Source organism: Homo sapiens, chromosome 5, assembly GCF_000001405.40.
Source record: "Homo sapiens chromosome 5, GRCh38.p14 Primary Assembly".
Lineage (NCBI taxonomy): Eukaryota > Metazoa > Chordata > Mammalia > Primates > Hominidae > Homo > Homo sapiens.
The window spans coordinates 160,228,820-160,253,888 of NC_000005.10; the positions used below are offsets into that span (position 1 = coordinate 160,228,820).

The window sequence follows — 25,069 nt, forward strand, 5'->3', positions numbered from 1 at the left end:
TTTCCATCTTCGTCACACTGTTCCCTCGTCCTAGAATATCGTCTCCCTTTGTTCTCAGCCTCCTCCAACCTTCCTGCTTCTCTACACATCCAAGTCCTATTGGTCCTCCAAGACGGGTGCCAAATGCCACCTCCTCCCCAAACATGCACTAGCCCTGCGCTGGACACCATTGCTCCTTCCCCATGCTCCAGGTCAGCCATCTGCTTTTCTCCTGGGGCACATCACATCCTGCTTACACAAGAACTCTCTGCAGGTGTGTGCTTGTCTCTGGACTAAACCAAAGGCTCTTTTGGGAAAGGTGTGTGTCTCGTTCATCTGTGTTTCTTCAGTGCTGGCCCTGCATGCAGCAAGTGCTCAAGTGCTTTGGCTGCAGAGTTAGAGGGTGCAAGAGTGATGAGAGATGGTGAGAGCATGGGTTGAGGGCAGGGCATGCGGGAACGGAGGGAGAGATGGGCAGAGAGGTGATGACTCCTCAAACCCGTTGCCATCCTGACCCTGCTGGCAATGGGGTGACAGCACTTCCCCAGGGTGAATAACCTCGGGGCTCTGTCCCTCCAGGTCCTGCCCACATCATAAAACAGCAAGTGCTTCCTCTTCAGGACAGGAGGGAGAAGAAGTGGGGTGACTTAGGGGCTGAGCCTCAGCAACTGGGAGAGTTTATAAGCTGGGATAGCAGACCCCTCAGCACCACCCATTCTCCTCATCCCTCTGCTCTCTGGCCTCCAGCCTCCCAGCAGCATGGCTTTCACCGGCAAGTTCGAGATGGAGAGTGAGAAGAATTATGATGAGTTCATGAAGCTCCTTGGTGAGTGAGCTCCTGGGTATCCCTTCCTCGGGGTTGGTTTGTCACAGCCAGCTCTGGGCCAGGAACCCTAAAGTAGAATGGGACAGGATTTCATCCATTCATTCACTCACTCACTCATTCATTCATTCACACATTTGTTGAGCAACTGCTTTCTCCCAGGCTCTGAGGATAATAAGAACTAAGACACTCTTTAACTTTTTTATTTTATTTTATTTTATTTTATTTTATTTTATTTTATTTTATTTTATTTTATTTTATTTTATTTTTGAGACAGAGTCTCACTCTGTCTCCCAGGCTGGAGTGCAGTGGCACCATCTCGGCTCACTGCAACCTTCGGCTCCCACGTTCAAGTAATTCTCCTGCCTCAGCCTCCCGAGTAGCTGGGATTACAGGTGTGCACCACCACGCCCGGCTAATTTTTTTTTTTTGTATTTTTTTAGTAAAGATGGGGTTTTACCATGTTGGCCAGGCTGGTCTTGAACTCCTGACCTCAGGTGATCCACCCAGCTCGACCTCCCAAAGTGCTGGAATTACAGGCGTGAGCTGCCGCACCCAGCATAGACACTCTTTGACTTTAAAACACACATAGAATATATTAGTATTTCCACTTTACTGATGGAAAACTTGAGGCCCAGGGAATTAACTAGTCCAAAGTCACACAGCTAGTAATTGGTAAAGTGGAGACTTGGTTGGTGAAGTAGAGATTTGATGTTTATTTAGTCAAACATGTATTTATTTTTATTCATTTATTTTTGAGACGGAGTCTTGCTCTGTCTCCCAGGCTGAAGTGTAGTGGCATGATCTCAGCTCACTGCAACCTCCGTCTCCTGGGTTCCAGCAATTCTCCTACCTCAGCCTCTCAAGTAGCTGGAACTACAGGCATGTGCCACCACATCTGGCTAATTTTTTGTATTTTCAGTAGAGACGGGGTATCACCCTGTTGCTCAGGCTGGTCTTGAACTCCTAACCTCAGGTGATCCACCCACCTCGGCCTCCCAAAATGCTGGGATTACAGACGTGAGCCACCGAGCCCAGCCCATCAAACATTTATTGAACACCAGCTATATGCAAGGCTATCTCAGTGTTACCAATGGGGACTCAGCGTGACTTGCCCAAGTCAGTGGCAGAGGCCATTGGCACCCAGGACCCTGTGATGAGTGGTGTCACCACATCCTGCCTGGGAGAGGAAACCAAAGGGTTAGCATGGAGACCAGGTTTGACAAGTCACTTCTTCACACAGTCATTCAGCAAACACAGGCCTCTTACTGTGCCAAACACTGTGGGCAGAGAGACCAGTGATTTCATTCCTTCTCTCACTGCTTGACTTGTAACACCAGTCTGTTGTGAGGAACCAATGAGACAGTGGATCTGACAATCTTGTGGAAATCTCAGTATCTCACTATCTAAAAAGTCTCAGGCAGTGTAACTCTCAAGGTTCAGAGGACAGCTCAAGGGGACCCGTGCCCTCCCTCTTGGTGGCCACTTCTTGCCTGCCAGCTGGCTCAGAGCAACCCTGAGACCAGGGCCCTTGTGCCTTGGGGCCTTGAGGAGTCGAGAGTCCCTCTGAGTCATGTATTGGCAGTGGCCCTGAAGGAGCAATGACTTGGCTTCACCTATAACAGCCTCGTGTTGTGGGATGGGAAGTGAGCCCACTTTGGTTCTAGACCTGATTCGGTCATTAAATTTCAGTGAAATACTGGGAAGTCCCTTTCCCATTCTGGGTGCTCACTTCCTTATCTGTAAAATAAAAGTATTAGAAGACACAGTCTTTCTCTGGCAGGGAGGAGGGGACGGAGTCCTGCTCTGTAGCCCAGGCGGAACTGCAGTGGCGCGATCCCAGCTCACTGCAACCTCTGCCTCCAGGGTTTAAGTGATTCTTTTGCCTCAGCCTCTCAAGTAGCCAGTATTACAGGCACCTGCCACCATGCCCAGATAATTTTTTTGTATTTTTAGTAGAGACAGGGTTTTACCATGTTAGCCAGGCTGGTCTCGAACTTCTGACCTTAAACGATCTGCCTGCCTCGGGCCCTCAAGGAGCTGGGATTACAGGCATGAACCACCATACCTGGTCTTGAAAGTCTCATTCATTCCAGAACTTCGCGAGCTTGGCAAGATTCAGTTATATTTATATTACTATCAGAAGCTTGGTTATTATTGATGAGCACCCACCATGTGCCAGGAGCTTCACAAACACACTCACATTGAATATAATTCTTGTAACAGCCTTTTGGGATGGGCCTTATTATCTCCATATTGTGGATGAATAGACTGAAGCTCAGAGAGATAGGGACTTTCCCCAGCCACATGGCTCACAGCACGTATTAGCTGTCTCAGGCACTGTGCTCTTAACCTGCAGGCTAGCCTATCATGCACAAGGGGGTAGGGCGGTGGGGGTGGGCAGGAAAGCTCTTTTCCCAAACCACAGGGTTAAAAGCAGCTCTTATATGGCTACTCTGCTTGTCCCCGGGTCCAGGGATCTCCAGCGATGTAATCGAAAAGGCCCGCAACTTCAAGATCGTCACGGAGGTGCAGCAGGATGGGCAGGACTTCACTTGGTCCCAGCACTACTCCGGGGGCCACACCATGACCAACAAGTTCACTGTTGGCAAGGAAAGCAACATACAGACAATGGGGGGCAAGACGTTCAAGGTGAGAGGCCACTGGCTGTCCCCCTCCTTCCCCAGGCCTCCATCTGACTTCTCCTTCTCAAACATGGCCTCCCCGCTCCCGAGCTGAGGCTTCTTTCTCCAGTTTGGCCTCCAGCATTAGGAGCTTGAGTTACTTGGCAATTTAATGCTCCTGATTTTTAATGGTCAAACATGGGCACTAAAACAATAAGAAAAATAGCTAATACTTGCTGGACACTTATTATAAGCTAGACACTTGCTGAATAGTTTTTCCATCTTAATGCAGTTAATCCTATGAAATTGCTACAATTACTCTCTCCAGATTGATCGGGGAGGCTAAATCATGAGATTAAAAAGCTTGCTGGCCAGGCACAGTGGCTCATGCCTGTAATCCCAGCACTTTGGGAGGCCGAGGTGGGTGGATGGCTCGAGGCCAGGATTTTGAGATTAGCCTGGCCAACATGGTGAAACCCCATCTCTACCAAAAATACAAAAATTAGCTGGACATAGTGGTGCATGCCTGTAATCCTGGCTACTCAGGAGGCTGAGGCAGGGGAATCGCTTGAATCCAGTAGGCAGAGGTTGCAGTGAGCTGAGATCATGCCACTGCACTCCAGCCTGGGCGACAGAGTGAGAGTCCATCACACAAAAAAATAAATAAATAAAAATAAAAAAAACCTTGCCTTAGTTACACAACAGGGGCAGGCCTTTACACCAGGCACTAGAGAGCATAAGTGTTTTTTTTTTTTTATTCGAGACTCACTCTGTCACCCAGGCTGGAGTGCAGTGTCATGATCTCGGCTCACTGCAACCTCTGCCTCCTGGGTTCAAGCGATTCTCCTGCCTCAGCCTCCTGAGTAGCTGGGATTACAGGCGTGCACCACCACATCTGGCTAATTTTTGTATTTTTAGCTGAGATAGGGTTTCATCATGTTGACCAGGCTGGTCTCAAACTCCTGACCTTGTGATCCGCCCACCTTGACCTCCTAAAGTGCTGGGATTACAGGTGTGAGCCACCGTGCCCAGCCATAAGTGCTTTTTTTATGCTGCCTCTCTGTGTAGCACAGAGATAAAGACACTGGGCCCTGGAGTGAGCCTTGGCTGGGTTTGAAACCATGATTTCCCACCAGCAATTGTAGGGCCTTGGGCAAGTCATTTCACTCCCCTGAGCCTCATATCTCTAGTATGCAAAAGGAGACTACATACAATCTCTAGCTCCAAGAGCTGTGGTGAAGATTAAACAAGACAGTGCATGAAAGCACCTGGCATGTTGCCTGCCACATAATGAATGCTAGAAGAAAAAATGCAGTCATTTGCTTTTGTTTTAGAAGTGAAGAAACTGGCCGGGCACGGTGGCTCACGCCTGTAATCCCAGCGCTTTGGGAAGCCAAGGCAGGCAGATCACGAGGTTAGGAGTTCAGGACCAGACTGGCCAATATGGTGAAACCCTGTCTCTACAAAAAATACAAAAATTAGCCAGGCGTGGTGGCCGGTGCCTGTAATCCCAGCTACTCGGGAGGCTGAGGCAGGAGATCGCTTGAACCCTGGAGGCGGAGGTTACAGTGAGCCGAGATCACACCATTGCACTCCAGCCTGGGCAACAGGGCGAGGCTCCGTCTCAAAAAAAGAAAAAAAAAAAAAGAAGTGAAGAAACCGAGGCTCAGGGAGACCAAGTAATGTGTCTAGGGCCTTGCAGCTAGAACATGGTGGGACCAGGGATTTGAACCCCAGCTATTTGCCTCTATCATTAGGCCTCTGGTGACCCATGTGGAGTTCTAATAATAGAAAAGGAGTCAGGTTGGCGGCAGCAGGGTAAAGCAAAAAAGGAGAGCAGATAAGCTGTAAGTCTGCCTTTCTTCATGGTCCAGAACACATAGCCCTCCTGTGCAAATAACTCACAATCTTCCTGTGCCCAGCTATCATCACCTCCACTGATAGAAAAATGTAAGTTATCTCACCATAACCTTTGCTTTGTCAGTACTGCACAAAACCCGCTTCAGCACACAGCATAAGCAACAGTCTATAAACTCTCCAGCAAGACTTTGTCTCCTTGCAGTCAGCTCCTCTCTTGCTGTCCTGCCCAGTGCACCCTTGCAACATATTTTCATACTTTCTCTAAGAAATCTGACTTTTTTTTTTTTTTTTTTTTTTACCTACAACTGTCTTGGTAAATTCATTTTTTTTTTTTTTTTTGAGACAGAGTCTTGCTCTGTTGCCCAGGCTGGAGCGCAGTGCCACGATCTCTGCTCACTGCAGCCTCTGCCTCCCGGGTTCAAGTGATTCTCACGCCTCAGCCTCCCAAGTAGCTGGGATTACAGGCATGAGCCACCACACCGGGCTACTTTTTGTATTTTTAGTAGAGACGGGGTTTCACCACGTTGGCCAGGCTGGTCTCGAACTCCTGACCTCAAGTGATCCGCCTGCCTCAGTCTCCCAAAGTGCTGGGATTATAGGCATAAGCCACCGTGCCTGGCCTTGGTAAATTCTTCTTACTGCCCGCGCCACCAGCCCCAGATAGTTGCCAATCACCTGCAACAACCCAGGCTTAATGTTGTGCTTCCATTCCAGGCCACTGTGCAGATGGAGGGCGGGAAGCTGGTGGTGAATTTCCCCAACTATCACCAGACCTCAGAGATCGTGGGTGACAAGCTGGTGGAGGTGAGTGTCATGCTGATTCCTGGGATGATTATTGGATATTTGTCTGCCTCTTGGCCACAGCCCCTCAGAAGTAGGCCTCTACGCAGCTGGCTTTACCAGCACTTCCCTTGTACCAGGCTCTATGCTGAGTGCTGGATGCACATGATGTCATTTGGTCTTCAAAATAACCCTGTTAGGTGGGGATTTTTATCTCCATTTGAGGAGACTGAAGCACAGGGATAAGTGAGGGAGCACACAGATTTGACGACAGAGCTGAGGTTTGATGCTAAGTAGCCTGACTGCAGCACTCACACTCAACCGCTTCTGGGACACGAGACTGGAAGCCCGGAAGATCCTTCCCAGAATATAAATAAAGGAGGTGGTCCAGGTGGGCTCCTCAAAGGACAGCCACCACTCCATTCCTTTTCCATGAGGGACATCAGGCCCCTTCTACCAGATCTTCTGATTTATCAAGAGAAGTTGGAAATTTGCACTTCCGTGTGAAATCTCCACACTATTAAATATTGGCAACTAATTAAAAAAATTCTGTAAATATTGGCAGGTCCCACACACACATCTGGGGACCCACTCCTCCTACACTGGAGGTGGTGCCCTGGGAGGCCCTTCCTCTCACTTCTGTTGCTTTCCCGTGGGTCTCCAAGTTTTCCCCAGGTGGAAGGAATGAACGTGAGGTTAAAAGGGAAAAGAAGGCATTTCCATACTTCATTCCCTCACTGTGAGCCTGTGACCTGGGCCAGAGACCCTCTGGGGTCCCGTGTAGGTCTAGAAAGGGCCCTTCCCTCCTCCCTGAAGCTCTCCAGCAGGGAAGACATGATGAGGGAGGCAGTGTTTGTGTGACCCCTTTGCTTCTCCTTCTTTGATCCTTCTCTCTCTCTCTCTCTCATTCTCGCTTTCTTGTGCCCACATCTCAAGCCCTGTCAAGAGGAAAGGAGCACACTGCCTCTCTCAGACACTGTGGTGTAAATGATTTACACCACAGACACTTATTTCACACAGCTCTGGAAGCAGGAAAGTACAAGATCAGGGTGCCAGCATGGTCAGGGGCTTATGAGGGCCCCCGTCCTGGTTTCTTCACATGGCAGGGAGACGTCATCTCTCTCATGTCTGTTTTTTTTTTTTTTTTCGAAACAGAGTCTTGCTCTGTTGTCCAGGCTGGAGTTCAGTGGCATGATCTTGGCTCACTGCAACCTCCGCCCTCAGGTTCAAGCAATTCTCCTTCCTCAGCCTCCCCAAGTAGCTGGGATTACAGGAGCCCACCATCACATCTGGCTAATTTTTGTATTTTTAGTAGAGACAGGGTTTCACCATGTTGGCCAGGCTGGTCTCGAACTCCTGACCTCAAGTGATCTGCCCACCCTGGTCTCCCAAAGTGCTGGGATTACAGGTGTGAGCCACTGCACCAGGCCTTGTGTCTGTTGTTATGAGGGCACTAATCCTTCATGGGGACTCCACTCTCATAACTTAATTACCCCCTAAAGGTCCTATCTCCAAATACCATCACACTGGGGCTTTGACCTTTATCATATGGGTTTGGTGGGGGGACACACGCGCAGTCCATAAGATGGCCCAAGAGGTTCCGTGCCCTCCCATTATACTTATTTTACAGAGCAGCATTACAAGGCTCAGAGACAGCAAGGGACTTGGCCGTGGCCACACAACTAGTACATGCAGAGGCAGATCTCATCTGCTGACTTCTAGACTAGGCCCCCTGCCTCTTCTGCCCAGGCCCACGGGTCTTTTTATCCCCCTTTAACATTTTTGTTTAAATAATCTAAAAATTATCTGGGTGTGGTGGCTCAAGCTTCTAATCCCAGCACTTTGGGAGGCTGAGGCAAGTGGATCACCTGAGGTCAGAAGTTCAAGACCAGCCCAGCCAACATGGTGAAACCCGGTCTCTACTAAAAATACAAAAAAAAAAAAAAATTAGCCAGGTGTGGTGGTGCACACCTGTAATCCCAGCTACTTAGGAGGCTGAGGCAGGAGAATCGCTTCAATCCAGGAGGCAGAGGTTGCAGTGAGCAAAGAATGAGCCCCCTCCAGCCTGGACAACAAGAGCAAAACTCTGTCTCAAAAAAAATAATAATAATAATCTAAAAACTAATAGATGTACAGTGTTGAAAAACTGTAAAAAGAACAAAAGTGACTATATCCCTCTTCTCCTGGGTGAAAACTGACATTTTGAAGGATCTGATGAAAGGGCTTTTGATGCATTTTTACATGAAATGTCAGTCAGTAACTCCCAGAAGAAGCAAAGCTCCCCAGCCTGTGAGGTGTGCAGGAAGAGCATAGGGCAGGAGAACTGGAAGCAGGTTTGGGCCTGACAAGAGAATTGATCTTCCCAAGCTGAGCGAACCTGCTTGTCAATTCCCAGAGATTCCTCATCATGGAGCCCATGTGGTGTGGGCAGTGACCAGAGTTCAGGGTCATCATGCACACACACACATGACACAGCCAGGAACACACACATGTATGCACATAGACCCAGGCACGTGCACACATAAACAAAGTTGCATGACTAGGCCCCGAGAGGAGCTGTCTTGATTGCAAATCCCCCATCTCTAGAGGCCCAGAATCATCCTGGCACCTCCCCACTTCTCCACCAATAGACAGTGCATTTTGTAAGCATCCCTCCTGCCTTCCGCCACCAGCACCCCTGCCATGTTCTCATCACCTCTCCCCTACACCAAGCCCCAGCCTCCTCTGATTCCACCTCTCCCCCACCTTCCATCCATCCCATATGCAAATCACACATCACCTCCCACTGCTGCCCTTTGTTATGAATCAGGACCAAACTCCTCCGCTTGACCTTCCACGGCCTTACTGCCCAATTCTACAGGTATGCTCTCCCCAGCCCCTCTGGACCAGCTACTGCTCCTGAGCTGGACAGAGCCATTCCTATCTCCCTTTCTGTGCCATGTGCTTCCTCTGCTCTGAATTCCCTTTCTCCTGTTTGCTTTTCCAAATCCAATTCTTCAGGATTCTGTCCAACAGCCAATTCCCCCTCCTGTTATCTAGTCAGTGGCTCCCTGCCTCCTCTGGGCTCTCCCACAGCTCTCTGTTTGCTACCCGCCCTTCTCATGGAAATGCTGCTTTCTTCTGCTGGGTGTCAGAACCAGCTGATGACACGTGCACATCCAATGGCAGCACAGCTCCACAGCATGGAGCCTGGGGCACCGCACACTGTGGGCCTTCAAAGAACAGCATCCCCCCCGCCTGCCTCTCCCACTAAACCTTAGGCTTCTCGAGAGTAGGGACTGTATCTTCCCATCACCGAGCATGTGACAGGTGCTCACAAACACTGCATGGTGCAGCCATGGCGTGTGGCCTTGGAAGGATTACTTGACTTCTCTAAACTTCAATTTTCCCATCTGTACAATGGGAACAACCTCACAGGGCTGTTGGGAGGATTAAATGGAATCATGCAGGGTAACAGCCTGACATGGGTGAATGGAGAGGAAAAGAGGTGCAGGGTTCCACACCCAGAGCCACATCACCCCTCACAGCTGGTTACCATTCATCACAGGGAGTCTTCACACTGACTCCTGGAACAAATTGGGAAACTGAGGCCGAAAGAAGTGGTGCGCCTGACTCTTATCTACTCAAGGCCGGGGTTGGAGACTCATCTTCCTTCAGCGGTGCCTCCTGGCTACCTTGGGGTGGGGCACTGACTCCCTCTGTCCCGGCTGCTTCTTTCAGGTCTCCACCATCGGAGGCGTGACCTATGAGCGCGTGAGCAAGAGACTGGCCTAAGCAGCCAGGCCCGGCCCAGGGAGCTACAAACCCACCAATAAAACTGATATAAGGACAGACGCTGCTCGCTCCAGAACCTCTTTGTTTTTCTTTTCTGGTGTCTTGGGATGGCCTCTGGCTGGGTGAGGGTGGGAAAGCCCCCAAGGGTGGCCACATGGGCAACACATTGCCCCTGAGATCCATGTGGGATTCATGTCATGGCGGAGGAAGACATGAATGTGGATGACTGCAATGCTCCTGCCCCTGGGTGAGGCTGAAGGTGGCGTACAGGAAACATGGTGGGCACACTTCTGTGGCCCCTTCGCCCCACTCTGCCACCCACTACTCTGTGCTGCTTGAAGCCTCCTTTATGGAGACAAAGTCAGCTGGGAAGGGTAACGCATTGATTCTCGGATGGGCCACAGGCCAGGCATATCAGGACTTGGGGGTTGTGGGGTGGGAGCTGTACCTCTAGGAAGGGCCCCGGCTGCTGGGCTCCAAGGCTCAAAGTGGGGATGGACCAGAGCTCACCCAGGGAAGCTGTTTCAGCTTGGCCGGGGCTCTGCTTTTATTCACTGTGGAGTCATCCCTTTGGTCCTCAGTTTACCCACTGAGGGGTACAAAGGGGGTCCAGGAGGACCAATGATGGGCTGAGGGGAATCAGTGGTCTATGAGATGGCAAAGGGGCAATGGGGGTGATAGGAGGGACAGGAGGGACTGGAGTGTCCTGGTTTTGACTCATAGGGCTTGGGCGGGGTGCCTGGGAAGAACTTTGAGAGGCTATGGGCGGCTGGGAAGGGGGGGCGGGGTCACCCAGACATCAGGTGCCTGGTGTCCTGGGTTGAGAAGCATTCTGAGGCAGCATTTGGGTTTGGCAGCTGTCCTGGGACAATCTCTAATTCAGAGTCCTGAAGGGGACTTTTTTCATCCTCCTCTCTCCTTGGAAGTGTTACCACATCTGGGTACCACCTTGACTTCTTTTTTACCCAATATTTTTCTTTTTTTTTGAGACGGAGTTTTGCCCTTGTTGCCCAGGCTGGAGTGCAATGGCACGATCTTGGCTCACTGCAACCTCCACCTCCTGGGCTCAAGCTATTCTCCTGCCTCAGCCTCCCAAGTAGCTGGGATTACAGGCATGTGCCACCACGCCTGGCTAATTTTGTATTTTTAGTAGAGACAGGGTTTCTCCATGTTGGTCAGGCTGGTCTCAAACTTCTGACCTCAGGTGATCCATCTGCCTCGGCCTCCCAAAGTGTTAGGATTACAGACGTGAGCCACCGCGCCTGGCTACCCTATATTTTTCTATAAGACAATTCACTTATTTTTACTATAATGGAAAATCACGTCACTTCCATACATAGACAACCACTGTTATTTGCCATAAGTAAACTAAAACTATTTAAAAAGTCATAGCTGAACAATGTTGACTTCTAGCTAGATTCTGTTGCCTGCCCAAGGCCCTGGGCCTAAGGCCTCCCTTTGTGAAAAGGGTGAGAGAGGTAAAAGACATAGTGGTATCAAATGGGAAAATTTATCCTTAACTCATCAAAATTCCTGAGAGACTACTGAAAGGAGAATGTACTCACTATAAGAACTGAATTACCGAAGGCAGGTAGTACTTACATTTTTTCGAATGTACAAGTCCCATACGTGAGACATAAGGAATAAGGTTTGTCCAGAGCTTTGCACAGGGTATGGCACACAGAAGGAGCCTAATACGTGCTACCTGACCTAAGGTCCTTCCAGCTCTGCGCAATTTGCAGCCTTTCACTCTTGTGGGCCAGCCTCAACCTGGACAGATGTCACAGCTCAGGTCACAGGCAGCCTTCTCTTGCCTCCTCCCACATTCTGCTCTGAAACCTTGTTTATCTTTCTAAGAACAATACACAGCCTCTCCCCACCCACCCATCCAGCAAGGACCCATGAATTCCACCGTTTTGCCAAGACTTATTACTAATTAAGTGAACCAGGTAAGCATTAAACTAGCAGTGTTGCTGTTTCCCCTCCAGAATGAATAATTACTCATAATGAGCTTGGATAATAAGTCTCTAAATAACAGAGTTAACTATAATTAGGCTGAAAATTGAGACAAGGGGAGAGAGAGAAAGAGGAAGGAAGAGGAGAGAGAGAGAGAGATGGAGGGAGGGAGTGACAGAAGAGACAAGAGAGAATTTTCACTATAATTGATTCAAGGACAAATTCAAATTGCTGGCAGGGGAGAAATATTTTTTTTTTTTTTGAGACAGAGTCTTGTTCTGTCACCAGGCTGGAGTGCAGTAACGTGATCTCGGGTCACTGCAACCTCTGACTCCCTGGTTCAAGCGATTCTCCCGCCTCAGCCCCATGAGTACAGGCACACGCCACCACGCCCAGCTAATTTTTTGTATTTTTAGTAGAGACGGGGTTTCACCATGTTGGTGAGGATGGTCTTGATCTCCTGACCTTGTGATCCCCATGTCTAGCCCTCTCAAAGTGTTGGGATTACAGGCATAAGCCACAGCCCCCAGCCAGGGGAGAAATTCTTAAGCCTGTATTGTTATAAACTCACAGATTCATAGACTATGGAAAAGCAGGACCTCAGCTCTCAACTAGTTTAAACACTGTATTTCACAGACGTGGAAACTGAGGCTCAGAGAGGAAAAGAAATTCATCCAAAGTCACACAGCAGAGAGTGAGTGAGTCTCTGAGAGTAGTAATGCGGGTGTGGGCTTCACTCACTGATGGAGCTACAGTTTCTCAGTGTGGGTAAATGGAGTAAGGTGAGCTGGAGAAAAGCACCTATGTCACTGGCATCTTGGCAGGGAGGATTCCTCAGCCAGAAGAGCCGGTGGTTAAGAGCTTTGACTCTGGGCTGGGTGTGGTGGCTCACACCTGTAATCCCAGCACTTTGGGAGGCTGAGACAGGAGGATCGTTTGAGCCCAGGAGTTCGAGAACATAAGGAGACTTCATCTCTACAAAAAAATTAAAACATTAGCTGGGCATGGTGGCACATGCCTGTGGTCCCAGCTACTTGGGGGGCTGTGGTGGGAGGATAGAATGGGCCCGGGAAAGTCACGGCTGCAGTGAGCCATGATTGCACCACTGCATTCCAGCCTGGGCGACAGAGAGAGACCCGGTCTCAAAAAAAAGAGCTCTGGGGCCAGGCACGGTGGCTCACACCTGTAATCCCAGCACTTTGGGAGGGTGAGGCAGGTGGATCACCTGAGGTCAGGAGTTAGAGACCAGCCTGGCCAACACAGTGAAACCCCATCTCTACTAAAAATACAAAAATTAGCCAAGTGTGGTAGCGCGTGCCTGTAATCTCAGCTACTTGGGAGGCTGAGGCAGGAGAATCACTTGAACCCAGGAGGTGGAGGCTGCAGTGAGCCGAGATGTGCCATCACACTCCAGCCTGGATGACAGAACGAGACTCCATCTCAAAAAAAAAAAAAAAAATAGAGCTTTGGTTTTGGAGTCACATTACCAGGATTTGAATCTTTTCTTTATCACCTAGAAGCTGTGTCACCTTGGGGTAAGTTCATCCATTTCTCTGAGCCTCAGTTTCCTCACCTGTAAATGGGAATAACAACTGTACTTACCTAATGGACTTGCTACAAAGTCACTCAATGTTAGTTTCTACCATCACCTCCATCATCACAACCATCACTCTCAGGTCAATGCAATCAAAGGGTTAGGAGTGCCTCTGTCACTAACTTGTGAGTCACTGGACCTCTCTGAGCCTCATCTTGGTCATGTGTAAAATGAATTAGTAAGACCTTCCCTTCCTCGGTCACAGAGGAGTTACAAGGATAAAGGGTAAAAATCCTTGCTTTGGGAGGCCAAGGCGGGCAGACCATTGAGCCAGAAGTTCAAGACCAGCCTGGGCAACATGGCGAAACCCCATCTCTACAAAAAATACAAAAGTTAGCCGGGCGTGGTAGCACATGCCTTTAGTCCCAGCTACTTGGGAGGATGAGGTGGGACAATCACCTGAGCCCGAGGAGGTCGAGGCTGCAGCGGCCATCATTACACCACTGCATTGTTGCCTGGGTGACAGAGTGAAATCCTGTTTCAAAACAAAATTTTTTTTTTATTTATCCATGCTCATGACTCCCAGAAAGTTAGATTGGCTTCATTATTTGCTGCACTGTGCAAGATGCTGGAAAGACTCCCCATTCCACAGACCTGGTTCAGGTGCCCTTTACCACAGGCTCTCCATGACCTTCACCCTGACATTTGGGAGTCATCTTTCCCACTGTGCCAGGGCACCTGCCTCCCTCCTGGCAAGCTCCTTTAGTGAACTTGGGAGCTACTCATAGCATCTTTAAAGATCACCACTAGGGCCGGGCGCAGTGGCTTATGCTTGTAATCCAAGCACTTTGGGAGACTGAGGTGGGCAGATCGCTTGAGCTCAGGAGTTTGAGACCAGCCTGGACAACATGGTGAAACCCTGTCTCTACAAAACATGCAAAAAATTTAGCTGGGCTTGGTGGTGGGCATCTTTAGTCCCAGCTACTTGGGAGGCTGAGGTGGGAGGATGGTTTGAGCCCAGGAGGCAGAGGTTGCAGTGCGCTGAGATCGTGCCACTGCACTCCAGCCTGGGGGACAGAGTCAGACAATGTCTTAAAATAAATAAATAAATAAATAAATAAATAAATAAATAAATAAATAAATGAAAGAAGATCACCATTAGGTGGCACTCTGCCACCTGCCTGTCATTCCTTGGATACCTGATGTGTTTGGGGGGAAGGAGCAGTGAAATCTTGAGTGATTGGGCCTTTGTGTGGCTGTGTGTCACCCAGGGTGACATGGCATGGCGAGATCTTCAGCCTCCACAATCCTCAGTATCGTCATCTAGGCAATGGTGATAATCCAACTAGCTCATGGTGGCGTTGTGAGGACAAAAGAGGAGTAAGGATAAGAGCATGAGGAAAGTGCCAAAGACAGGGCCTGCCACATAGTAAGCGTGTACAAAGGAGCTATTAAGGGCTCTTCTTCTTCTTTTTTTTTTTTTTTTTTTTTTTGAGACGGAGTCTTGCTGTGTTGCCCAGGCTGGAGTGCAGTGGCACAATCTCGGCTCACTGCAAGCTCCGCCTCCCGGGTTCACGCCATTCTGCTGCCTCAGCCTCCAGCTGGGACAACAGGTGCCCGCCACCACGCCCGGCTTTTATTTTATTTTACTTTTTGTATTTTTAGTACAGACAGGGTTTCACCGTGTTAGCCAGGATGGTCTTGATCTCCTGACCTTGTGATCCGTCCGCCTTGGCCTCCCAAAGTGCTGGGATTACAGGCGTGAGCCACTGCGCCCGGCCAGGGCTCTTCTTGAAACGTCTACTGGTGAGAACTGGCACATACAGGGTAGGGCTTCAGAGCAGGGAGCAGTGTCCAAGCCTGGCTGTGCACGAGCCTCTCCTGGGAAACCTCCCATCTCAGACCTGCTGGACCTGACTCTAGGTAAGAAGACCATGGACTGCCACTGGGATGTGCTCCCCTGCCAGGTATGACCTGGGAGACCATTCCAGTCCCACCCTCTCATTTACAGATGGAGAAACTGAGCTCTAGAAAAGGGAAATGACCTGCCTAAGTCCACACAGTTGGGAGCAGCAGAAGGCCTGACTTCCCAGATGTCCTGCCTGTGTGTCTCTGATAAGGGCAGGGGCCTAGAACCAGCCAGAGCTGGCCCAGCAGAAGCCTGGCCACTTGAATTCTTCCTTTGAAGTGGGAGCTGGGTTGGGGGGAGGTGCAGCTGTCTCACCTGAGCCCTAAAGAAGAGGGGGTCCACTTATTTCCAGTGTTCCTTGTGGAACTCACTGCTGAATGATAATACCACGTGTTCCAGGCTTCCTTACCATACACCTGAACCACAGACTAGGTTGGCAGCCTTCCCCTTAAAATGAGGAGACAGAGGTTCAGAATGGAGTGATGGCTATCGTCAAGACCAGACACACTCAGACCTCTCACCTCTCAGGCTCTGCATTCTTGTCTAGATTGCACTTCTTCTTTTTTTTTTTTTTTTTAGACAGAGTTTCACTCTTATTACCCAGGCTGGAGTGCAGTGGCGCCATCTCCACTCACTGCAACCTCTGCCTCCCTGGTTCAAGTGATTATCCTGCCTCAGCCTCCCAAGTAGCTGGGATTACAGGTGCCTGCCACCATGCCTGGCTAATTTTTTGTATTTTTAGTAGAGAGAGGGTTTCATGTTGGCCAGGCTGGTCTCGCACTCCTGATCTCAGGTGATCCACCTGCCTCGGCCTCCCAAAGTGCTGGGATTACAGGCGTGAGCCACTGCACCCAGCCTAGATTCCACTCTAACTTAAAATGTTTTATTGGCTTCCTATTTGTTAAAATGTTTTAAATTTAATTTAAAAAATTTTTTAAAAAAATAATTTCCTAGAAAGCACAGATTCCCAGTTTCTCTGGAAACATGGAGCTTACATCTCTGAAAGATAATACCAGGTAGGGGCTGGGTGCGGTGGCTCACGCCTGTAATCCCAGCACTTTGGGAAGCCGAGGCAGGTGGATCACGAGGTCAGGAGATTGAGACCATCCTGGCTAACAAGGTGAAACCCTGTCACTACTAAAATTACAAAAAAATTAGCAGGGCGTGGCAGCGTGCGCCTGTAGTCCCAGCTGCTGGGGAGCCGAAGGCAGGAGAATGGCGTGAACCCAGGAGGCGGAGCTTGCAGTGAGCCGAGATTGCGCCGCTGCATTCCAGCCTGGGTGACAGAGCAAGACTCCGTCTCAAAAAAAAACAAAAGAAAAAAAAAAAAGAAAGATAATACCAGGTAGGAGCTGAGTAGACATCATATCCTTTAGGGAAACACTGGCTTTATAGCTCAACACAGTCCCCACCACCTCGCACTGTCAGTCATCCAGCTGTATTTGCACACTTACGGTACCTACCTGGCCCTGGCGGGCATTTGGACCTGAGACACCTACCAAATGCTTTGGTGTCTTCTTCTGAAATTCGGTTCACAAGGGTTTACTCTGAGGAACAGATCCTGGTTCATGAGAGCTGCTAAGATTCTCTTCCAGGCACCTGGTGCCAGGGATTGCCTCAGAAATACAAGGATGCTGGTTGCTGGCAAGGAGGAGGGCAGCTCTTTGGGCTGCTTGACAAGCTGGATGGTGCCTGGAACTGGTCTGAGCCAGCACTGAGGCAGGTCCCCTCCTGGGGGAAGCTCTGGGGAGGCCCCAAGCCTGGTCCCAGGTCTTCACCTTCACAGATGGGGCTGGGAGCTCAGGGAGCCCCTCCCAGATCTAAGCATGTTAGAAGCAGACAGATGGAGCCGCAAATCTTGTTAGCCGGTGGCAGATGTGCAAGGAGCTACGGTTCTGTGTCTGCTGGTGAGCATGCTCTGAGAACCCCGGCCATGAATCAGGAGTGTGAACGCCAGGCAACTCTTTGCTTTTATGAACCCACGTCCATTGTTCTGTCCTAGTGGGGTGTTCCCTACCAGGTGAGTGGATGGCCAGCTGGGCCAGCCACGGAGACTTTACCTCTTGCACTCCGAAGCCACTGGGTCAGGAGCACAGGATGCTGGGGCGTGGGGTTGAACTGTGGCTCCTTCACTGCCGCTGCTGTCCTTAGGCAAATAACCTCTCTGTGCCCTTATTTTCTGATCTGTAAAACACAGCTAATAATACTTCCTATTTTGTAGGGTTACTAGGATGGCTGTAGGAAATAATATGAGCAAATGCCTGAAATACAACAGTAAGTACTTAATAAATGTTAGCTGTGATGACTACTGCCACCACCACCAGGAGCTATTATTATATGGGGTGGTGGGAGGGGAGGTAGTTTAGGCACAGCCATCAAATCAGGTAAACAAATTAATTCGGTCATTTCAGATGGTTTGAATACCATGAAGAAAATCAACAGCTAATGAGAGAATGACTAGGGTTGTTACAGAGGCCTGTTCGGGAGGTAGCACGTGAGCTGAGACCTACAGCAGGGTTTCTTAGCCTCAACACTATTGCCATTTGGAGCTGGACAGTTTTTTGCCATGAGGGGCTCTCTTGTGCAGTGTAGGATGGTTAGCAACATCCTGGACCTCTACTCCCTATATGCTGGTAGTAACCCCCCTCAGTTACAACCAAATGGGTGTCCAGACATTGCCAAATGTCCCCTGGGGGTCAAAATGACCCCTGTTGAGAATCACTGATATAAAGGGTGAGCAGCAGGCCAGGCACTGTGGCTCACGCCCGTAATCCTAGCACTTTGAAAGGCCAAGGCAGGCGGATCGCCTGAGGTCAGGAGTGTGAGACCAGCCAGGCCTACATGGTGAAACCTCGTCTCTACTAAAAATACAAAAATTAGTCTGGCATGGTGGCGCTTGCCTGTAATCTCAGCTACCGGAGAGGGTGAGGCAGGATAATTACTTGAACCCAGGAGGTGGAGGCTGCTGTGAGCTAAGATGGTGCCACTGCATTCCAGCCTGGGTGACAGAGCAACTGTGTCTCAGAAAAAATAATAATAATAATAATAAGGGTGAGGAGCCAGTCCCACAAGGACTAAGGGGAAGAGCAGAAACAGCTTTGGAGAGATGGGCTTTGAACCTGGAGGGCAGAAGGAACTGGAACCCTGACTCTAAGCCAAATCCAGGCATTTAGTCTGCAGTGTTAGTTTGGAAAGAAGCAGATTCTTCTTGGAAAAGAAGTCTGGGTGTCCTAGCCCTTCACTCAGCTAAGCCAGAGAAATGCTGCATAGAACAAAGAAAGAAATACTAAGTATAGAACAAAGTTGAGGTCTAGGACTCAAATGGTTGACATTCAGACAGGGATGCTACTTCCTTACTCTCATTTGAGTTTGGGAACCAGTTCCTGCACAGTTAATCCTTCAATGTTTCTTCAAAGAAATCACACAGGCAGTCTCTGGGTACCTTTGTGCACGTAAAGATGGGAGAGCAGGTGCCTAAGTCGGTGCTGTTTGTGTGTCTGGGTAACATCTGTTGGTCACCCACTGCAGAAGCAGTTTTCAGATCAAAACATTTCAAAGTCCTGCGTGCAGTGGCTCATGCCTGTAATCCTAGTACTTTCGGAGGCCAAGGCGGGCAGATCACCTGAGGTTAGGAGTTTGAGATCAGCCTGACCAATATGATGAAACCCCGTCTCTACTAAAAATACAAAAATTAGCTGGGCATGGTGGCATATACCCGTAATCCAGCTAAGCGGGAGGCTGAGGCAGGAGAATCGGTTGAACCCGGGAGGCGGAGGTTGCACTGAGTCAGGATTGCGCCACTGCACTCCAGCCTGGGCGACAGAGCGAGACTCTGGCTCAAAAAAAAAAAAAAAAACATTTCAGAGAATTGGAGGGTAGACAGTGTGGTGACGTCTGGGTACGAGATAGGGAATCCCCTGACTACCGAGGGCACAGCTGCATGAAGAGACACAACATTCCCATGAGCCACGTTGCCCAGCAGAGATAGGAATAGAAAAAGCAATCAAGTTAAAAACTGCAAAGCTAAAATTGAACTACTTGGGAGCTGTGATCACAAAACCAACTTATTAATGCAGATCCCTATTATGGAAATGGCTGCCTTTTGAGACGGTGTACCAGCAGTGTGTCAGGTGCTGCAGAACGTTCTTGGAGGAAGCCCACCGAGGCTGCTCTGTACCCTGCTGCGGCCAACCTGACTTGACCCCAGCCTTCGGCTCTGCATCTCTCAGTGGGCAAGCTAACCCAGCTCTTTCTTCACTGACTTACTGTTTCTTACCTTAAAAAATAATTGCAGATGGAAATCAGTTGTGTTTGGCAGAAGAATAAAAATAATTGATTCAGACAGTTTCTGGGGTATATTAAGTGTTCTTAGATTAGCTGAACCTCTCACTTTGCCCCAATTACAAAAATAGTGGAACAAACGACATAAAACAATAAAATAAAACACAGTGGAGTAAAACCTCCCTTGAAGGCCCAGGTCAACACCTAACCCACTAAGACTTAATCGGGTCTGCCTCTTCGGTGGGTTTGATGATGGCTGGATGGAGGACAGGCGCCCTCTGCTCCCTGCACTACCTCCATCTTTTTGCCCTAGGGCTTTTTATAGAGTGACAATAGCCCCGCCCATAGGAGCTCACAGTCCAGAATCGTCTTAATTCACACACACCCACAGTGCACACTTGTATATTTAAAAGATAGGGAAGAGGCTGGGCGGGTGGCTTATGCCTGTAATCCCAGCACTTTGGGAGGCCGAGGCGGGTGGATCACTTGAGGCCAGGAGTTTGAGACCAGCCTGGCCAACATGGTGAAACCCTGTCTCTGCTAAAAATACAAAAATTGGCCGGGCATGGTGGCGCGCACCAGTACTCCCAGCTACCTGAGAAGTTGAGGCAGGAGAATTGCCTGAACCTGGGAAGCAGAGGTTGCAGTGAGCCGAGATCGGACCACTGTACTCCAGCCTGGGCGACAGAGTGAGACCCTGTCTCAAAATTAAAAAGAAAAAGGAAGAAATAAAAGATCTGGAATCAGTCTTTAGCAACTTTAATACTTCTTGATTTTTTGCCTAGTGTATTTCATGAGGAGGTCAGCTCATTTGCTCCCATTTGAACCATGCTGCCTCTGAAACTTAATTACATCCAGAAAGGACACTTGCATGCTAGTTTATCTATGGTCAGTTGTGGAATAGGTCTGTTTCTATATGCACATGTAACCCAAATGTCAAATATAAATTGGGTTAGGTGGGAAAAATAATTTTAAAAGGTGGAAAAAGTTCTATTATGTTGACATGCTTAAATATTGGTATATTGAGTATTCTTTCATCAGCATCTCATATTTACTGGCAAATACAGGTAATTTCTGTGTACTTTGAGATAATTCTGTTAAATTCATATAGACGTCAGAAAATACTTTTCAAAACAAGCTGGACCAGGCGTAGTGGCTTATACCTGTAATCTCAGCACTTTGGGAGGCCGAGGCAGTCAGATTGCTTGAGCTCAGGAGTCTGAGACCAGCCTGGACAACATGGTGAAACCTCATCTCTACAAAAAATACCAAAATTAGCTGGGTATGGTGACAGGTGCCTGTAGTCCCAGCTACTCAGGAGGCTGAGGTGGGAGGATCACTTGAGCCCAGAAGGTTGAAGCTGCAGTGAGCCGTGACTGTGCCACTGCACTCTAGCCTGGGCCACAGAGTGAGACCCTGTTTCAAAAAATAAATAAATAAATAAATAAATAAATAAATAAATAAATAAAATAAAAATTTAAAAAATCAAACTAAACTGGGGAGTTATAAAAATACAACTGAAATATAAAAAACAAACAAAGAAATCATATGCCTGAATGACCAAGAAGCTGGCTAAAGTGCAGATTCCAGGTCCCCACCCCTCCTAGAGAAGGCTCCAGGTCATTCTGCAGCTTGCTCAGGCTTGAAAACCTCTGAATTTAACCTGATGCCAGCCCTGGGAGGAACTTTAAGACTATCTTTGTGCTTTTTAAAGCTTTCATAGCTGTCCTCCAGCATGGGAATTAACACAATCTTACATGGGAGTGCCCAAGGGTGGAAGAAATACAAGTGGATCCCTCTGGCTGAAGGCCACAGAGGTCACAGCCTCTGTGGCACAGTCTCCCCCCGCCCCAAGAGCTTAGAACCATCCACCAACTTGACCATCTCCATAGTAACAGATGGAGAAATGGAAGCCCAAAGAGGGAGGGATTTGTCCAAAGTGAGGTGGGTGCTCTTGGTCAACCCAAGACTTGCCTTGTCTCTGAATCCCCAAAACTTAGAGCTTCCTGCCTCACCTAGCCTTGCACACAGCGGGTGGTGAGCACTGCCCTCAGCCCCGCCCTTGGCGGTGTCAAACACACTCCTGGGTCTGGGCTGCAGCCTCAGGCCCTGAGCTCATCTTCCCATTCCTCCCCTAATTGTCTAATCAAAGGCATCTGCACTTAGCAAATGTCTCAGCCCCACAGTGACACCGGCTCTCTGGGGTGGTTCTCCTGCTGGAAGCTGGGTAGGTAGAGGGCAAGACAGAAGTCTTGAGTGAGACTCCCTTCAAGGAGGAGTACGAATCTGACATTTTTCATAACAGCTGATGCTATATCTCATCAATTCTACATATACATATTTTGACATGTAACGCTTCTGAAATCAGAATGCAACATATAATCAATGGTATCTTGCAAACTGCCTCATGATTTAGTTTTCTAAAAAGTCTTATTAGTGCATAAAATAATAGTGCATCTTACAAAAAGCTGATCTTATGCTTGAAGAAATATAATAATTATCTCCTTTTTTGGAGGTACTGGCCTTGATGTACATTATGTTATTTAATCCTCTTAAGAACCCTATGAGGCAAGGTGTTATCACTCCCATTTTAACAGGTGACAAGATGGAGGCTCAGAGAGAGGTTGGGTCAACTGCCTTCCAACAGCTGGTAAGTGGTGTGATCATTAAGTTTATGTGGCAGCTTGGCTAGGCTACAGTGCCTGTTGTGTGGCTAGGTACTAGTCTAGATGTTGCTGTCAAGGTATTTTTAGATGTGATTAACATTTACAATCAGTTGACTTTAAGAAAAGCCTCCATAATGTGGGTGGGCCTCATCCAACTGGTAAAAGGTCGTAAGAGCAAAGATTGAGGTTTCCTGGAGAATAAATTTTGCCTCACGACTGCTAACACAGAAATCATGCCTGAGTTTCCAGCCTGTGGGCCTGCCCTACAGATTTTGAACTCTACTGCAACATCAGCTCTTACCTGAATTTCCAGCCTGCTGACATGCCCCACAAATTTTAGACCACAGCCTCTGCAATCACATGAGCCAATTCCTTAAAATAAATCTCTCTCCATATATATCCTACTGGTTTCTTTGGAAAAACCCTGAGACGGTGATGGAGCTGGGGTGTCAAGCCTTATACACCCCTCCGCTGGCCTCTGTGTGCCCAGGGAGGCCCAGCTCCTACTCAGAGGGCAGGACTCAGCTCCCGAGGTCTTGCTGCTGCCCCCAATATTCCACCCTCTACCATAGGGAGATGCTCACCAGGGCTGATTTGAGAGAGGGAAGGAGGGGCCGGCCCAAGAGGGGATGCCTAGGACAAGAGGTGAGAGATCAAGAGCAGGTGACGTGTTTATTGTGGGACGCCTCTTTCTGGGGGTCGTGCTGGCTGTGAGGGAACCCTCACAATCCCCAGGTCCCAGAACAGACAGATACAAGAACTTGAATCCAAACTGCTTGCACATAAATAGAACGGAGGTTGGCAAAGGAAAAAAAAACAACAACAAATGAACGTGCAGCCTCCTATGCTAGTGTGACACGGTGGCAGAGTCTTATCCACACCCCGTCTCTTTTCTTACTGTCTCCATGCTGAGATTTTCAGCTGCTCTGGAAAGATTCACCACCTTCCGATCTGACTCAGCAGCAGACAGCTGCCTTCCTGGCGGCCCCTGCCACAGTCTCCAGGACTGGCAAGGGGCTAAGGAATCCAAGACAGGTATTCCTCAAACAAAACAAAAATTGCTTCCACGGTCCTTTGCACCTCCCAGTTCTGCTGGGTGAACAATGTGTCCCCCAACCCCAAACTAAACCAAAGAACATGCTGAGCACAAGCTGCGAGTCAGAATAAAAACATATTGCACATGGTTACAAGAGTCTTCCTGAGGGCCCTCTCGCTGCAGATCCCTAAATACTGGCTTTTGATCCAACCAGTCGCTTGCCTATCAATGGTGGTATCAAACGCCCATGTACATCCCACTCCCCAAATACAGGTGGGACTAAGCAAATTTTCCACATTGCTATCCTTCGCTATCAGCCACACTCAAAGCCTAGACTGGGTTAAACTCATGCCCTGTAAGTATGTGGTGGAGAGAGGTGGGAACTGTTTAAATCTTTGTCTTCCTTTCAACGAGCTTCTCCCTCCCTGGGTAGTTATTAAAGTTCTAGTGGTGAACACAGCCTCCAAGACGTGGAATCTTCCGGAACCGAGAGCTGGGAAAATGGTTCTCTCCAACCATATGCCTTCAAAAAGGAAGCTCTGTGGTTACCTGCGGGTCCATCACAAGTTGGGTTCAAACTTGGGTTCCAAATTAACAGCCCTCATGTGGGACAGGCAGTGTGGCAATTAAATTTGTTTTTTTCTCCAAAGGAATTTTCAAGTATCACCAAATCCCTGATACAGTGTGTAAACAAGACATCTTACGAAACAGAAAGCAAGACCACTTCGGGAAGCAGCAGCACATGACATATCTAAAAGGCTGAAAATGGTTTTAGGTTCGAAAACAAAGGCAAGACAGCCACCCACTGTGCCTCGCAAGGCAAACACTCAGGCATACACACCAACTCAGGCCCCTCTGCATAGAGCCAGGGAAAGAAAAGCACCCAATATGGGATCCTCCGGGGGTCCTGAGAACACGCCAGGCTGCCCCTCCTTTTTCAGCGGTGTAGCTGCCATCAGCAAAGAATAGAAAAGTCTTTAATGCTAAAAACTGGACATGCTTGAGATCAGTGGTCTGTGTCCAGTTCCCACTCTCCTGGCCTCTTATCAAGTCTTTCTCGATTCACTGGGCCCCTGTGTGGGGGGACGGCCACCAAGCCATCCTTTTGTACCCTAGCCACACGTGGCAGACGTTTCTCAGAGGAATGCTCTCGGGTGAGGTATGTTATTGAATGTTTTGCTCTGGGTCAGTTTTATTTAAAAGGAGCACAGACCCTCCACGTTCCAAGGCTCTTCAGGGATGGCCTCCTGCTGCCTCACTTGGCTGAGCTCTCCTCTTCAGTGTCCTCTTCCTCTGCCCACATCTCCAAGGCTTCCTCGTGAGGTCTGGAGGTGGCCTATCTGTCAAAGCAGCCGGTGGGGAACATGTGGCTCCCACTGAAGTAGCTGCTTCCATAGGTGGTGGCGAGGCAGTGCCTGGGCTCAGCTGCAATGGCCATATGCATGCTAAGGGATGCAGGGACGGGCACGGGACACATATCCAAGGGCTGCAGCGGTTGGTACGGGGTGTGGAGGGATGAGCCTGTACTCCCCGAGAGCAGGCTCCCTGAACGGTGGGCCTGCAAGGAGTCCCGATAGGCCAAGCATAGGTCCTGCACGGGGGTCTGGAACTGTGCCAGGGTGGTCGCTGGCTGGCCGAGGGCCGGGTAGGCTGGTGGCTGGAACAGCACTTGAGTGGGGGTGGGGGGTGTGCCGGGCACCATTGCCAAGGCCTGGCTCTTGACGGCTACGGCATCCTTGAGGACGTTGTCATACACTCTGAAACGAGAAGACCTGGGTGAGAACTGGAGGCCAAAAGCCACCAGATGCCTGTGTGTGTCTCTACCTGTCTTGCTAAGTGGGACTGGA

The 25,069-nt window shown here is 49.2% G+C and overlaps 2 protein-coding genes across 13 annotated transcripts in view, besides 2 other annotated features; one reads left to right on the forward strand and one right to left on the reverse strand.

Moving 5' to 3' along the window:
- FABP6 (fatty acid binding protein 6) overlaps positions 1-9,903 on the forward strand; it is a 51,342-nt gene extending 41,439 nt beyond the window's left edge. Inside the window, exons 4-7 of one of the 3 annotated variants that reach the window (NM_001130958.2) lie at positions 727-805; positions 3,279-3,454; positions 6,001-6,090; positions 9,787-9,897. In NM_001130958.2, coding sequence (NP_001124430.1) covers positions 727-805; positions 3,279-3,454; positions 6,001-6,090; positions 9,787-9,840 — 399 coding nt within the window. In that variant the 3' untranslated portion in view covers positions 9,841-9,897. Of the gene's footprint in view, positions 1-686; positions 806-3,278; positions 3,455-6,000; positions 6,091-9,786 lie in introns of those variants that run through there. The other 2 variants (NM_001040442.1, NM_001445.3) reach the window with 2 other exon arrangements.
- Positions 4,581-4,630: a silencer, noted in NCBI's record as "silent region_16581". NCBI's record gives its function as "represses an Ori minimal core promoter by ATAC-STARR-seq in GM12878 lymphoblastoid cells {active_cell/tissue: GM12878}" and the evidence as "EXISTENCE:reporter gene assay evidence [ECO:0000049][PMID:35858748]".
- Positions 8,575-9,530: an enhancer, noted in NCBI's record as "NANOG-H3K27ac-H3K4me1 hESC enhancer chr5:159664401-159665356 (GRCh37/hg19 assembly coordinates)". NCBI's record gives its function as "activates a minimal SCP1, AML or CMV promoter by ChIP-STARR-seq in naive and primed H9 embryonic stem cells {active_cell/tissue: H9 hESC(naive and primed)}" and the evidence as "EXISTENCE:reporter gene assay evidence [ECO:0000049][PMID:30033119]".
- The window catches only part of CCNJL (cyclin J like), a 90,488-nt gene continuing 85,682 nt past the window's right edge, over positions 20,264-25,069 (reverse strand). For 9 of the 10 annotated variants that reach the window (NR_177110.1, XM_011534646.4, XM_017009847.2 and 6 more), the window contains one exon: positions 20,264-24,979. Coding sequence is in view for 8 of the 10 variants with exons in the window: in XM_011534646.4 (XP_011532948.1) it covers positions 24,559-24,979 (421 nt within the window). In the remaining 2 variants the exon portion in view is untranslated. The remainder of the gene's footprint in view (positions 24,980-25,069) is intronic. The other variant, NR_131769.2, reaches the window with a different exon arrangement.